The following is a 14,805-nucleotide window of genomic DNA, read 5'->3' as shown; positions in this document are numbered from 1 at the left end:
AACAATTTTAAGTGACTGGAGATAAAATTGGAAAATATTTATTTACTTTTTAATTTTTTTTTTTTTTTGAGACACGGTATCACTCTGTGGACCAGGCTGGAGTGCAGTGGCATGATCATAGCTCAATGTAGCTGCAGACTTGTGGGGTCAAGTCATCATCCTGCCCCATCCTCCTGAGTAGCTGGGACTACAGGTGCACATCACCATGCACAGTAATGTTTTTTAAAAATTTTTTGAATAGAAATAGAAATGTGATCTCACTATGTTGCCCAGTCTGGTACTGATTTCCCAGCCTCAAGCAATCCTCCTGCCTTGACCTCCCAAAGTGCTGGCATGCCTGGCCTACTTTTTAATTTTTGTAAGTCAGTCATTAAATGATATAGTACTTGAAAACAAGAGGACAAATATTCATATTAGACTTACAGTTTTTTAGTTCACATAAATTTAGTTTATTGACTGAAATATTTATGCTATAAAAAAGAGTAGTTTTGTCATGGCTCTTTTATTAACAATTATTATTTTAAAAGGTGACCCAGACATTATGTAGGTTTAATAGAAAAGAAAATTATGTCCATATTCTAAATTACCAGTCTCATGGTCAGTACAGAAATTATAACATTTTAATGAAGGTTCTGCAGCAGGTTTTTCAGTTCACCTACTCATGTAATGATGAATGATGGCATTTAGTTCTTTCATCTTGATGTGGTGACATTACATGTTTTGTAAATGATTTTTGCAAAATTTTCAAGTTAGGAAAGACAAGCATTATGTAATTATAAGGTTAATATGCTCTTAATATAATTACAACAGTCATGATCATGTGAACTTCCGCATTGAGGTTGACCAAATCATATCACAGAAGTGCCTGGAGTGCTACCATGCCATGATCATCTGGATTTTACTACATTTTCTGAAAGATTAGACAAAATTTTACTTTTAGGTATATCAACTGAAGCCTACTGTAATCTGTTTGTTCAACTAACATTGTTTTTAAGGTGTACTTACCCTGAGACTAACATGAGGGGTTTAGGGATGCTCATTTGCATGGTTTCCTTCCAAAACCCTGAGAGGGGTCCTAGCAACGTGTTTAAAATGTGTTTGTAAAATTTGCAAAATATATTCGTGTGTTTCATTCTTAAGGCTCCACTTCCCCACCCAGTGGTCTAAGCTTCAGACCCCACATATCCTAGATTTGCTCCTCATTGCAATTACTGGTCCAAAGTAGAGTAGTTATTCGGGCCTTTTGCTAATAAGACTGTGTATGTCACATAGCTTAAAGCTTCTTTTACGTTAAAACAAAATAAATCCCCTAGCAGTCCCTTTGCTGCTTTGCCCCATCTCTGTTAATAGACACTGTGAAATCTGCTTTTTTCAAAAGTTGAATGAAAATGCTACACTTTTGCAGCCAAACAGAGGACACTTGTACATGATATCTTCTTTATTTTATTTTATTATTATTATACTTTAAGTTTTAGGGTACATGTGCACAATGTGCAGGTTAGTTACATATGTATACATGTGCCATGCTGGTGTGCTGCACCCATTAACTCATCATTTAGCATTAGGTATATCTTCTATAGTGTCCAGTTTCTTTGATAGTCACAAATCTCAACATTCTCCCTTTATCATCCTTTATATATTCCCGTGAGATAAATTACATGTAACCTCCTCTATTTTGTGTCCTTCTCCTCTGGGGCTGGTTAGCTCAGTTAGTTGGAGCCTGGTGCTAATGAGACCATGGTGGCCTGTGAGCTTCACTGTTCGTGGTCACAGTGTAAGCTACAGCCAGCTACCTTGAGATTGCTTGCTGTTGATCACAAATGAGGTGAAGGCTGGGAGTTTGGTGGGCTCTGTGAATTTTTTTTTTTTTTTTTACCTGCAGGTTGGTATGGCTCAGTAATTTGTCAATGAGAGGAGACCTTATATAAAAACCTGTGGCTGCCCTACCACCTGATAATTAAAGTGGTACCCCCAAGCATTTCTAATTTGCCTTAATATCCTGTAATCATCTGTTAAATATTCATTTACACCCTTCTTTCCGTGGTCTTCTCTCTTGAACCACTCTGGATACCAGTCACATTAGCAATTCATTAATCACCTGGATTATACACATTGTGAATTACTTTGTGTATAAAAAGGTGTGAATTACTTTGTGTATTACAAAGTGTATAAAAAATTACTTTTTATACACTTTGTAATAAAGTTACATATTTTTATCTATAGTATCACTAAATCACTTTTTTTTAGAACTCTTAATTAGGTACCTTCTAGTATGGATTTAGCCACTCCAATTTTAAAAATACATACACATATGGGATTCATGTATGTACATATGTACATATGTATGTATAAAATACCCTGTGCTTTTCATACTGTTTGATCTAGCAATTCATATCTTTATCAAAAGACAGCTTAGGACTAGCCATCTGCCTAAAGTCTTCCTCAGTGGAGAACAAGACTGAAGGATTTATTCAATTTCTTTGCCACCATTTTTGAAACTACTTTTACTTCTTTTTGCACTCTGATTTTTAAATTGGGTTGATCTATTTAGTAAATCAAAAATTAATTAATGGTTTAGGAATCCCTTTTTATTGAATTCAGTAAGTATTGAGCATATACTCTGTGACAGGTATTTAAATGAGTAAAGGGTGGATAAAAAGATGATCAAGAAACAAACTCTACCCTCTAGGAATTCGTTATGTAACAAAAGTAAGATGTTGGATGAATATTTTCTGGTCCCCTTAATTTCTGATTTGTACCTGATTCTTCATATTTTTGTAGCTTTGGGCCTTTCTTTTTTCAACATAGAATTATCTTTCTATTAGCCATGCAAGGTTCTGTTTTGGTTTGTGTTGTTTTGATGGTGGTGGTGGTGGTGGTTGTGGTTGGTCAAACCCTTGATAATTTTAAACTCTTAGCCTACCTATTTATCTAACTTTCACTGACATGTTCATAAATAGTCTCCAGGTTTCCTGTGGGTTCCTTGCTTTGCTCAGTTCTTCCTATTTATCTCCCAAAAACCCACATTTTGTTTATACCCTTTGTTAAAACTAGATAACCACTTAATTCTTTGAACTACTTCAATGAGGTATGATTGACACACAAAAGCTGCACATGTTCAATGTATACAAATTGATGACTTTGGAGACAAACAGATGCTCATGATACTATTACTACAATCCATGCCACAAACTTGATTTTTTAAAAAATAATCTTTGTTTCCTACTAGAATACTAAAGTTAATTGAATTGCCATTATTATTACACGGTGGTCACCAACAAATTTTTAGGTCAATTCCTGTTCACCTCCTCAGGAACAATGTCAAAGTTACCCTGCTTATAAGTGTCAATCATTTGCTCTCTTCCTAGGTGATGTGCTGATCTGTGTTTAGGTACTCCTTTATGATTCCTGGCCTGCTGTTGTATTTCTCCTCCCAGCAAATATGGGTAGCTCTGAACCATGACTTGTGTTCTCATTTGTGTTATTCTTTATACCTCTTATACTCACAATCACCTATTGATCTTTCAACTAACCTGCCTGCCTTCAATGGTTCCTCTTACTTGGAGAATTCTCTGATTAATAAGATCAGAAAATCCAGGTCTAGGTGAGGACAATGGTTCACTTTTGACCCATGAACTTTTTTTTTCTTAGCTCTCTCTAGAGCCATGGGGACTTATTCATTAACAAGTACGATTAGTACTTAAACACCACTATCAGCTTGCATCTGTTTTTAAAGTTAACTCTCAATTATTGAGAAACTAATTAACTAGTCTGGAGGTTATGTGGGTCTCCTGCAGCCTGCATTTTGGCCACTTCAGTCCCCACGGAACATTACTCAAGGAGTGTGGAAATGACCAAGCAAATACTGTGAAAGAGAGATTATTCAATTGTACTCTGTGTGAAAGTGAAGTCTGATGGAAACTAAAATTATGGATTTCAGTGCATTTTGGGATTATCTAAAGATAGAAATATGCATGATGACCGTAAAAAGAGCCTTCCTTTTATATTATATAAATGCTTGCAAATGAGCAATAAAATGAAGATATTATGACGCTAGTAAAATTTATGAGTGCTATTTTTCTTGTATTAAAATTGGGTCAACAAATTGTTACCAAATGTTTACCCTTCTGTAAAAGAAAATATCTAGTCATTCAACTCTAGACAGGAACTCAGAGATGGAAGGCCCCGATTATTCTGTTGACCTTAGGCCAGGATTTTGAAATATTTTACATTCATCCAACAATAATTGTAATTGATCTTGGATATTTTTGAGGTAACTACAAATAGATCTAGGCTATTGAGGAGACACAAAGATTGATTTGGCATAACATTTAATTTTCATTTATTTATACTAGCTTGAGAAATAACCTGTTAAGTCACTGTTCCTAAAGTGTGTGTAAACTAGACATTTATTTGAGGCATAGTTTTGCATTGAATTGCATTGCCTCAGAATCCTTTAAGAGCAATCTGTGGTGGCTTTTAAAATTTTTACCTTTACAGGATTCCAACTACTATTTCCCCATTCTTAGTCACGGAGTAGTGATTGTTCTATAAACAAATAGTTAAAAATCCTAATCCTAATATTAGTAACTATGTAAAAGAACATTTTAGTGAATACCTTAGTATTGGTTTACAAAGCCAAACATTTTCAATTTGTGGAATCTTGCTACAAATACTAAATTCATATACATATATATTCATATATATTCATATATATATGAATATATATGAATATATATATGAATGTATATATGAATATATATGTATATATGTATATATGAATATATATATGAATATATATGTATATATGAATATATATATGAATATATATGTATATATGAATATATATATGAATATATATATGTATATATGAATATATATGAATATATATATGAATATATATATGTATATATGAATATATATATGAATATATATATATATGAATATATATATGAATATATATGAATATATATATGAATATATATATGAATATATATATATGAATATATATATGTGAATATATATGTGAATATATATATGTGAATATATATGAATATATATATGAATATATATAGGAATATATATAGGAATATATATAGGAATATATATAGGAATATATATAGGAATATATAGGAATATATATATGAATATATATATGAATATATATGAATATATATAGGAATATATATAGGAATATATATGAATATATATAGGAATATATATATAGGAATATATATGAATATATATAGGAATATATATATAGGAATATATATGAATATATATAGGAATATATATATGAATATATATGAATATATATAGGAATATATATATATGAATATATATGAATATATATGAATATATATTTGGTGCTTTACTCCTGAAAGCGTTGGAGAATTTCATTTTTTGAAATCATTTAGAACCAAGGTCGGTGAACTTTCTTGTGAATGGCTAAATATAAATATTTTAGGCTGTGAGGTTCAAGATGCAAAGTTGAGGGTATTATATAGGTACTTATATAACAAGAGAGGAAACAAATATCTACAATTTTTTGTAATACAGCTCTACTAATGAGCACAATGAAATTTGTGGATGGACACTGGAATAAGAGTTTCCTATAATTTTCATGTTTCACTAAATATTATTCTCTTATTTTTTTCAATCATTTAAAACTGTAAAAAACATTCTTAGATTGCTGGCCATACAAAAACACAGGCAGGCTGAATTTGGCTTATGGGCCCTAGTTTGCAGAGCCTTACTCTAGAACAGAGATTCTTAACCAGTAAGTAGTTCATAACCCCACACCAGGGGTGAGTGTCGTGGGGTCCTTGAACTTGCTGAGATCACAAGCAACATTTTTTGCATACATGAATTTTTCTGTGGACAGAGTCTGCAGCCTTTATCTGACTCTTGGAGAAGTCCTGGACTCAAAAAAGATTAGGAGCCAGTGTTGTCTAGATATTTCGTTAATTTTTAGGACACATTTCCTGAGTGTCTGATAGTTCCTAAGCAATCTGCAAGTCACTGGGAACTCATGGGAATTTCTACTGTAGGAGCTAATACTGCTAGAGACATGGGGATAAATAGTTGTCAGGTGATCTTATTCATAAAGTCTGTTGCCACCACCATTCTTGCTGGTTGACAACACTCAGAAAGATGAAAATTTACACCTGGTTATGGGAGGGACAGCCGTCTCTTTTCAAGTATTTAGTAAATAATTTAGGTTGGAATTTAAATATCTGAAACATTTAAGTGTTCAGACCATTTCAGGCTGTAAAGATAAATCAGAGTCAGTATAGTTAAAACCTTTTCCTTTACAATAAAAATTAACCCACAGATAGGTTCATGTTAGCTCAACTGACATCAAGGGCTGAGATATATATAGAGACAGGATTAAAGTTGCTTATTAAAGCTGAGCTTCTGAGCTTGCAGGCTGCTTGACTTAACCCATGGCTGTTAGTCAACGCTAAGCCCTTGAATGTTCAAATTCATGAAATGGAGTAGTTACCCTGGGGCAGAGGTGGTGGTGAGAAAACAGAAATGTCCAACTGAAAATAAATAAGCCACTCAGGAGTTCCTGCCTCTGCCCCAGTATTGAGAATGGGATAGCTTGCTTCTTCTCAATAAACAGTGTTATAGAATGCATTTCATACTCAAGGAGGAAATAGTTATAAGAGCTAGGATACTAATTTTAAGATCTAAAGATAGCATAGTTTGTGGTGAAACCTTAGAAAAATCTAAATACTTTCAGTAAGCCCTTTACATTTTATATGTAGACCAATCATTAATTTATAGCCTTTTTTTCCATACACTTGGAGCATATAACAAACCTAAGAAAGTTTAAAAGTATTCCAAAGAAAGCAGAACTTAGCTAGGAGAATTTCCCTGGTGAGTCACCTCAAAAAAGAAAAGAAAAAAATTACAGAAGTAAAAAGCTACCATAAACAGAAAGCATTGCTTTCAAATACATTAGGCTTCAATATTGTTGATTGATCAGCATTTATTAGTGATTAATAACTTTTTAATCTGGAAAATTCACCCACCTCCAGGTCTTTCTTTCAGTTCAAAAATTAATAGATACAATAATGGTCCTGCTCATTTTTGTAAAAGGCAAGAGCAAAAAGTATGCAGGAGAATGGGCTGGTGGCTTCAGTGAGAAATTTACCAGGAAAGTCAGAGACAACGAAAAGTCAAGTGAAGAGCACTATCGTGTGCTTCAAAAATGGACTCTTTCTCATCAGAGATTCTTGGTGATCTTGAGACAACTATGAATCATTACATTGATAAAGTCTGCCTTATTGCGGAAGCATGCCTGGGTGGCTGTTTCCAGAAGATTTCCTTCTCATTATATAAAATCATGTCACATCAGCTAGTTCCTGAGCTTCACATCTCATTCCATGACAAGTATCCCGTATTCCTGTAGTCTATTACATCATAAGAGCTAGTTAGACTGGGTCAGCCCTTGGCTATTTGCCCCCAGACTTTAGAGTCCTTCTCCTGACTACACCATCATCTTTCCTGGCACCTGGCGTTCCCTTTCCACTTAAGGCTCTTGGCAACCATGTCTTTCCTACTCACCCTCGTGAGTCTTGCCAGTTTTTTGGTGCCAGATTCTTTCTGCCCTTCCTAATGTCCCAATCAGCTAATTTGATAAACTCATCTAAGGTAGAATGCTAATGGGGGAGTGCTTCCTTCTAAGCTGAATATGGTTTATAACAGAGTCTTCTTGGAATGCTGTGTGGGTGACAATTTCAAGTCTGTGTGGGGGTGAGGCAATGAGTATACATTGCCCTTCACTTTATATTCCACAATTTGTATTTAGACTTGTTTCTATTAATGTGACTTAGCAGGTATGGGCACAGTTTGGCAAATGCAACAGATTCGGGGGTTTTTTCAAGTGAAAAAATTTTATAAAGCAAGAAGGAACACATGCAATTAGTAATACACAATGAGACACCACCAGTTTCACAATAACTAACTTGTAGAGTCATTATTAGAAATATACTACATTTAGTCATGATTTATTATTCATTCATTAAGCTTTTAAAATGTATCATTGAGTATATCTGTCAACCAGTCATTCACTAAGTGTTGGGTACTATAGGGGAGATGAGAACTATCAAAGGAATAAAACCACATTGACAAGAAAAGATACCCACATGTGGAACAAACTGGAAAACAGCAAAGTGATAAATAATATGGCAACAGATAATAAAGGAAATACACATATTAAACTTTTTGAATCCAGGATCTTTGAAAATAGAAAAAGCAGTAATAGCTTTTTGCATTTCTGAGGTTTTTTTTTTTTTTACAAGTTACTCTAGTTTGTGTACCATATAATCCTGTTATCTTATCTCTTCCTGCCTAACAGGGATTCTTGTAGCATTTCTAGTGCCTTCTTTTGAACTATGAATATCATCTGGCCCCCTGGATAAAGACAAGGCTAGGCAAGTCAGATTAGCTTGTGAAACAGGACCTCTAGGATGACTACAGTAAACAATAATTTCTTGTACACTTAAAAATAACTAAAAGAGTATAATTAGAGTGTTTGTGACACCAAGGAATGATAAATGCTTGAGGTGATAGATACTCCATTTACCCTGATGTGATTATTACACACAGTATGCCTGTATCAAAATATCTCATGTACCCTATAAATATAGATACCTACTATGTACACATAAAAATTTAAAAAACAGGACCTCTGATTTAAAAAAATAACAAAATATAATGGACCATACTAAACTCATTTTAGGTAGATATTAAAGCACTCACTTTTTCTAATTTATCACTTTCTTCCTCAACTCCTTGCTGTGTTCCATAATTGTCAGTGGGCCAGGAAGACAGAAGCACAGCCAGTATTTGGTAGTACAGGTGGGGCCTGTGGTAGGACAGGCAGCCTTACAGCCAAGCAGTATTGATGGTGAAGAGGAAAGAGGAAGGAAAGGGACTGAATGCAAAGGCCATGCCTGTGTAAGGAAACAAAGAAGATTGTCCATATGTGTAATGTCATTGGTGACATGGTTTTTAGGGAATAAAGAAAGAGTTGGAGGAAACACATTTGGAACAGACTAGCAGTGAGATTTAATTTGGATAATTCATGACTGTTAAAATCATGTGGCTTATTTTATGAGCTTACCAATAAAGTTAGTACGTAAAGAGATTTGTTGGTTTAAAAGCAACTCCTCTATGGGAATTAGTATGAGGCTAAAAATAAATCAGAAGAAAACAATAGTAAATTTTGATGTGGCATAAGTAATTTTGATGTTTCTGAAAGAATACCTCTTTGTGTAATGACAGGAAGAATCTTTACCTCTAACATCTTTTTTTCTCTTTTAAACATACAGGGTTCTTTTCCTATGACTCCATCAATTCCAGCTAATCCTCCCATGGCTTTCAATCCTTACATACCACATCCTGGGATGGGCCTCGTTCCTGCAGAACTTGTACCAAATACACCTGTTCTGATTCCTGGAAACCCACCTCTTGCAATGCCAGGAGCTGTTGGCCCAAAACTGATGCGTTCAGATAAACTGGAGGTATTTGTGAACATATATATAAATACCTGTAGAATAGATATTAACCTTACACATAAAGCAGTATTCTCAGAGCCCAGTGTGTTGTTTTAAATAAGAGAACCCAAATTTCTTAGCTTATAGGGTTGTTAAACATTTTAGTACTGCAATCATACCTTGTTATAAAGTGCATTGATTCACCTGTATGGTAGGTCAAACAATATGTTAAGTGTACCCAGCCATAGACTGTGCGATGGCACAGGAAGCCTCTGTGGGAATGTTCCTTTTACCTAGGCTCCAGCTTTCAGAAACAGATTACTATATTTGTTAATGAGTCTCTACTTGCTAGAATAATCAAAGTGGGAAAAAAGTAGACAATATAACTCTCTACGATTGCAGAATGTAAAGCTATATGAACACAGAAGGTAAATTAGTCTCATAGTGCCTCAACTTTTTTCTCCATTTTGAGAGTGATGTGCTAGGCAGTAAATAACCCCGATGCCTAAGAAAAGAAAATCTGAAAGAAATTTCAAACAGCTTTTTGATTTATTGAAGTCCTTCATTCTTCTATTGTTATTCTTTGTACATTGAAATAACTAGTCTTTCCTTACAAAGTCAGCTCCATTTGCAGCCGCTTAAATGCCTAGTAATGTATTGTAATATAATCTGATTGTACATATAACTCAGTTATGGTTCACAAGTTGACTTTGGAAAACCAGTGCATTATGGTGTGATAAAGACTCATCTTGGACTTAAAAAAACACTAATTATGCTTAAGGCTGTGTATTAACTGGAGAATTAAAACTGGTTTTCAGTAATACTTTTTTAAACATTTTTATTTCAATGTAAGGACAACCTCCTTTTGGGGAGAATAGAATTTTTTTCTGGGAATAGAAATTCTGTCTGTTTATATCTCATAGTGAATATGGCTTTACATTATTCTTTATCTTTTTAGATTTGTTCACACATAATATATTCAATGTATATATAATTACTGTTACATTCACTAGCAAAATAAATAAAAGCCAGTCAGCTTCCAGTCATCAGTGTGATGCGTGTGTATGTGCATGTGTGTGTTCTAAGGTTTGCCGAGAATTTCAGCGTGGAAATTGTACCCGTGGGGAGAATGATTGCCGCTATGCTCACCCTACTGATGCTTCCATGATTGAAGCGAGTGATAATACTGTGACAATCTGCATGGATTACATCAAAGGTCGATGCTCGCGGGAGAAATGCAAGTACTTTCATCCTCCTGCACACTTGCAAGCCAGACTCAAGGCAGCTCATCATCAGATGAACCATTCAGCTGCCTCTGCCATGGTAAGAAAAGGCCTGCACTTGTGGCCTGTTTCAGAGTAAATGCTTTGTATATTCCTCAATTTGTCTAATATCCTGTAACCATACTCATGGATGGTCATGAGAGGACCTTAATATGAACAGTCAAGGTTATAAGCTGGAAAAGAAAGAACCTATTTATTCTACTTTATTTACTAAGATTTTCTAAAGATAATTATTTAAAAGCCTTACTAATGCTTTTAACCTACTGTGCTCTTTCTCCCATTTTCAGAGTAAGGGTAAATTATATAATTTAAACAGTAAGTTATTTTTGAGTGCTTTTATAGTTTCACTACCCTCAATATCCTAGAGAGGCAGAAAGTTGCCTCTGCTCTGTGAGCCACTTTCATGGGCCCTTTGCTACTAACATCCTTAATGCCTTTCAAAAACACAGCACTTAAAAGATAGGGTATTAAGTAGGTTGTAATTTCCTAAAGGTTAAGGCCACTTTTCCTCTCTAGAGGCATAGTATCAAGGACAGCAGCCTGCTTAGTCTGGGGGGAAATTTCTACGTGGTTGGGAGCAGAGGCCTGACTTTGGTTTTTTTTTTTTTTTTTTTTTTTTTTGTTGTTGTTGTTGTTTTGTTTTGTTTTGTTTTGTGGGGGTGGTTGTGTGTTTTTTGTTGTTGTTGTTTGTTTTGAGATGGAGTCTCACTCTGTTGCCCAGGCTAGGGTGCAGTGGCGTGATCTCAGCTCACTGTAACCTCCGCCTCCCAGGTTCAAGCAATTCTCTAGCCTTAGCCTCCTGAGTAGCTGGGACTAGAGGCGTGCACCACTGCTTCTGGCTAATTTTTGTAGTTTTTATAGAGGCCGGGTTTCACCATGTTGGCCAGGCTGGTCTTGAACTTCTGATCTCAGGTGATCCTCCTGCCTCAACCTCCCAAAGTGCTGGGATTACAGGCATGAGCTACCGTGCGCAGCCCAGAGTCCTGACTTTTAAGTTGCTGTAGAAAGCCAGTTTTGGGGGAACAGTTAGTGCTGCTTAGTAATACTGAAAGGTAGGAAGCAGGAAAAATATTTGTGTAACACTGCAGTGTGATCACTGAGAACCAGGAATTCTCGTGACTTAAGTTTGCCACAGCTGTCCGTTGTTTTGATGTGCTGCTTGCTATGTCTTTCTTTTTCTCCCTGGACCTTTCCTTGTGTAATAAGGCATAACAGCCCCAGTAAAGGACAAAACCCACAGGAAACCTCATGTTCCCTGGGTGTGGAAAAAGCACTGACATGACCCTGAAGCCCAGGAGATGCACTGTGAGCTAAATCTCCTCACAAACATTCATAGTTTGGACTCCCATGACAGAGACTTTGCCTATTCACAACAGAGAGACACTTATTTTCAAACATCCCTATTAAGAAGGTTTTCCTCATACCGAGTTGAAATTTATCTTGCTGCAACTGGAACTTCACAAAAGAAGTCAGTCCCTATTCCAAGTGAGAGTGACTCTCATGTCTCCTGTCTAAGCCAAATACTGCAAATTGCTCCCTTTTCCTGGTAGTTTATGGTTTCAAGGACACAGTACCATTTTTGGACTGGCTCCACTTTTTGTCAGAACTGAACTCATTACATCGTGAAGGATCTGAGCACCAAAGTAGAACAAACTTACTTTCTCCCTTGATCTGAACAACATAATCTGTTAATGAATGTTAAAAAAGACTTTACCAAATTCTTTTTGTCTTAAATGCTTTTGAAGGGGTAATTATAAGCTATGAAAATAGCTTCATATGCATCTGTCCATTTCTGATTATTTGAGTGTGTTTGATAGAATGCATAGGTTACAAGTCAGCCTCAAATTTCCACGTAGAGAGCTAAATATTATATCATAGGCCTTCAATTGTTACTTGTGAATATCAATATAAAATTCCCTTTTAAGTAACTGATCACAGCAGGGTCTTAGCAGTGAGATCAAGTTGGCTCATAAGAATTTGATAGAGGTAAGATTAAATAAAGGAGGGCTTCATGAAGAAATTCAAGCTTTTTATATTTTTAAGGATTCATAGTGGACATGCTTTATAAAAGAGACATTTTTACCTTGTTCATGTATATAGCTCAGGTTGAGTTCACAGAAAGCAGCTTGTATTTAAAAAAAAAAAGAGAGAGACATAAAGGGTTGATACTTAGTTCATCCACAGTCTCACACCTCTTCGGCAGGTTTATGAGTTTAATAGTACAATCACCACCCAATTGGAACTGGGCACTGACCCATCAGGATAAACCCCAGCCATAAATAAACAAGCAGTACTACCTTACCAGCGTCTACCTGTTGAATGTTCATCTAGGTTTCACCCCAATTTGTAGTTTACTAGGGAACATAACTGGTTCTGATGATCATACCATGCTGCCAACTTTCAAGAGAGAGAAGGGGACACTCCCCGTTTATACCAAAGGGAAATCTTTTTAACAACCAGATAAGTAGGTCTTCTGTCTTAGTTAAAATGTTCAGCAAAACCATTTTCTCCCAATGGTAATAAAAGGCATTCGAAATGATAGATTTTGTTTTATGGTTTATGATTTTAGTACTGACCTTTGCCATCTGGTCTGCTGGGATAAATTTGGAAATTTTATATCTCTAAAGCTACTCAGTTTATTTTATCTCACTCTTCTAGCATGCTTTTCTTTATTTAGGTGAAATGAAAAGCAGATCTGTCACAGTGTGTGCACTGACAGTAGAGTTCCCAAAAGAAAATAGAGATACCTTGAGACCTTTGTTATCCACAGGAACGAGGTCATGGCATTACCCTTTTGGACACATGGTAGGATAGTTACTCAACACAAGCATTCCTGTTTCCTTAAGAATTTGGAGCATACCTAATTGTTGTTGCTGGGACATGTTTTTTAAGTAACGTGCAATTTGCTGAGAAAAAAAAAATGTAAAGTAATGTTAAACTTCTCCAAAGAATCTGATCCAGGGGCAAGTTTCACGGAGTATTATAAGCACAGTGGGATTTTGAAAGAACTGTAGACATGAAAGGATGGTTTAAAAATGCTAATAGGTTTTAGAATTAAACCTTACAAGAACTTAACAAAGCAAATGGTACATACCGAAATGGACAGCAAGCCTCTATAAATAAGAACTGCATATATTTTGCTAACTATCTACATAGTACCTGCGTGAGGTAGGTCGTGGGGGAGGAAATATTCATTTGCTTTTTCCTTACATGTTAGTTAGGAAATATATAATTATAGGACTTGAACCTGAAGTCTTTGTATAAACTGGATTTTATTTTATGGGGTGACAGTGTCAGACTCTGATCTACCAACATCTGTTTTATCACCTATATGCCATTTATGTCCTAGATCTGTATTGGAGTTTTAACAGGCAGAAATCTCTTTCCTGCTATATCTGTTGCTTCTGCTAATCTCATTTTTATAGATTCATAGATGAGTATCCCTGAGATATTAATTATAAATGATTGTTTACTGTAGTAGCTTTCTGTCATATCCTGCCCAAATGAGGTCTAAATTAGTGAAGTTGAAAACCTTTTTTTTTTTTTGCATTTTTTTTTGTTTTGCACTACTGCTCATGTAGTTGGACTACCTCTTTTTTTTTTTTTTTTTTTCTTGAGACAGGCTCTTGCTCTGTCACTCAGGCTGGAGTGCAGTGGTGTGGTCTCAGCTCACTGCAGTCTTGACGTCCTGGGCTCAAGCAATCCTCCTGTCTCAGCCTCCCAAGTAGCTGGGACCACAGGCATGCACCACCATGCCTGGCTACTTTTTCTATTTTTTCAGAGATGGGGTTTTGCCATATTGCCCGGGCTGGTCTCAAACTCCTAAGCTCAAACAATCTGCTGGTCTCAGCCTCCCAAAGTGCTGGGATTACAGGCGTGAGCCACTGTACACGGCTGTGAACCCCCTTATCTCTACATTTGGTTACCTTGCTGTGGGGCCACTGCTTATCCAGTGTCTTGCCCAATGCATACCCTTACGGAGGATTCCCAGGAAATACCTTATATGACTGGTG

At 35.7% G+C, this 14,805-nt stretch overlaps 1 protein-coding gene and 1 long non-coding RNA gene across 32 annotated transcripts in view; one reads left to right on the top strand and one right to left on the bottom strand.

Moving 5' to 3' along the window:
• Positions 1–14,805, bottom strand: part of RAP2C-AS1 (RAP2C antisense RNA 1) — a 214,305-nt gene that overhangs the window by 31,133 nt on the left and 168,367 nt on the right. The gene's annotated exons all lie outside the window — the stretch shown is intronic.
• Positions 1–14,805, top strand: part of MBNL3 (muscleblind like splicing regulator 3) — a 120,716-nt gene that overhangs the window by 88,357 nt on the left and 17,554 nt on the right. For 30 of the 31 annotated variants that reach the window (NM_001386916.1, NM_001386917.1, NM_001386915.1 and 27 more), the window contains 2 exons: positions 9,345–9,536; positions 10,596–10,832. In NM_001386916.1, the coding sequence (NP_001373845.1) occupies positions 9,357–9,536; positions 10,596–10,832 (417 nt within the window). In that variant the 5' untranslated portion in view covers positions 9,345–9,356. The remainder of the gene's footprint in view (positions 1–9,344; positions 9,537–10,595; positions 10,833–14,805) is intronic. The other variant, NM_001386918.1, reaches the window with a different exon arrangement.

Source organism: Homo sapiens, chromosome X, assembly GCF_000001405.40.
Source record: "Homo sapiens chromosome X, GRCh38.p14 Primary Assembly".
Classification (NCBI taxonomy): Eukaryota; Metazoa; Chordata; class Mammalia; order Primates; family Hominidae; genus Homo; species Homo sapiens.
This window is presented reverse-complemented; position numbering and strand designations above follow the sequence as displayed.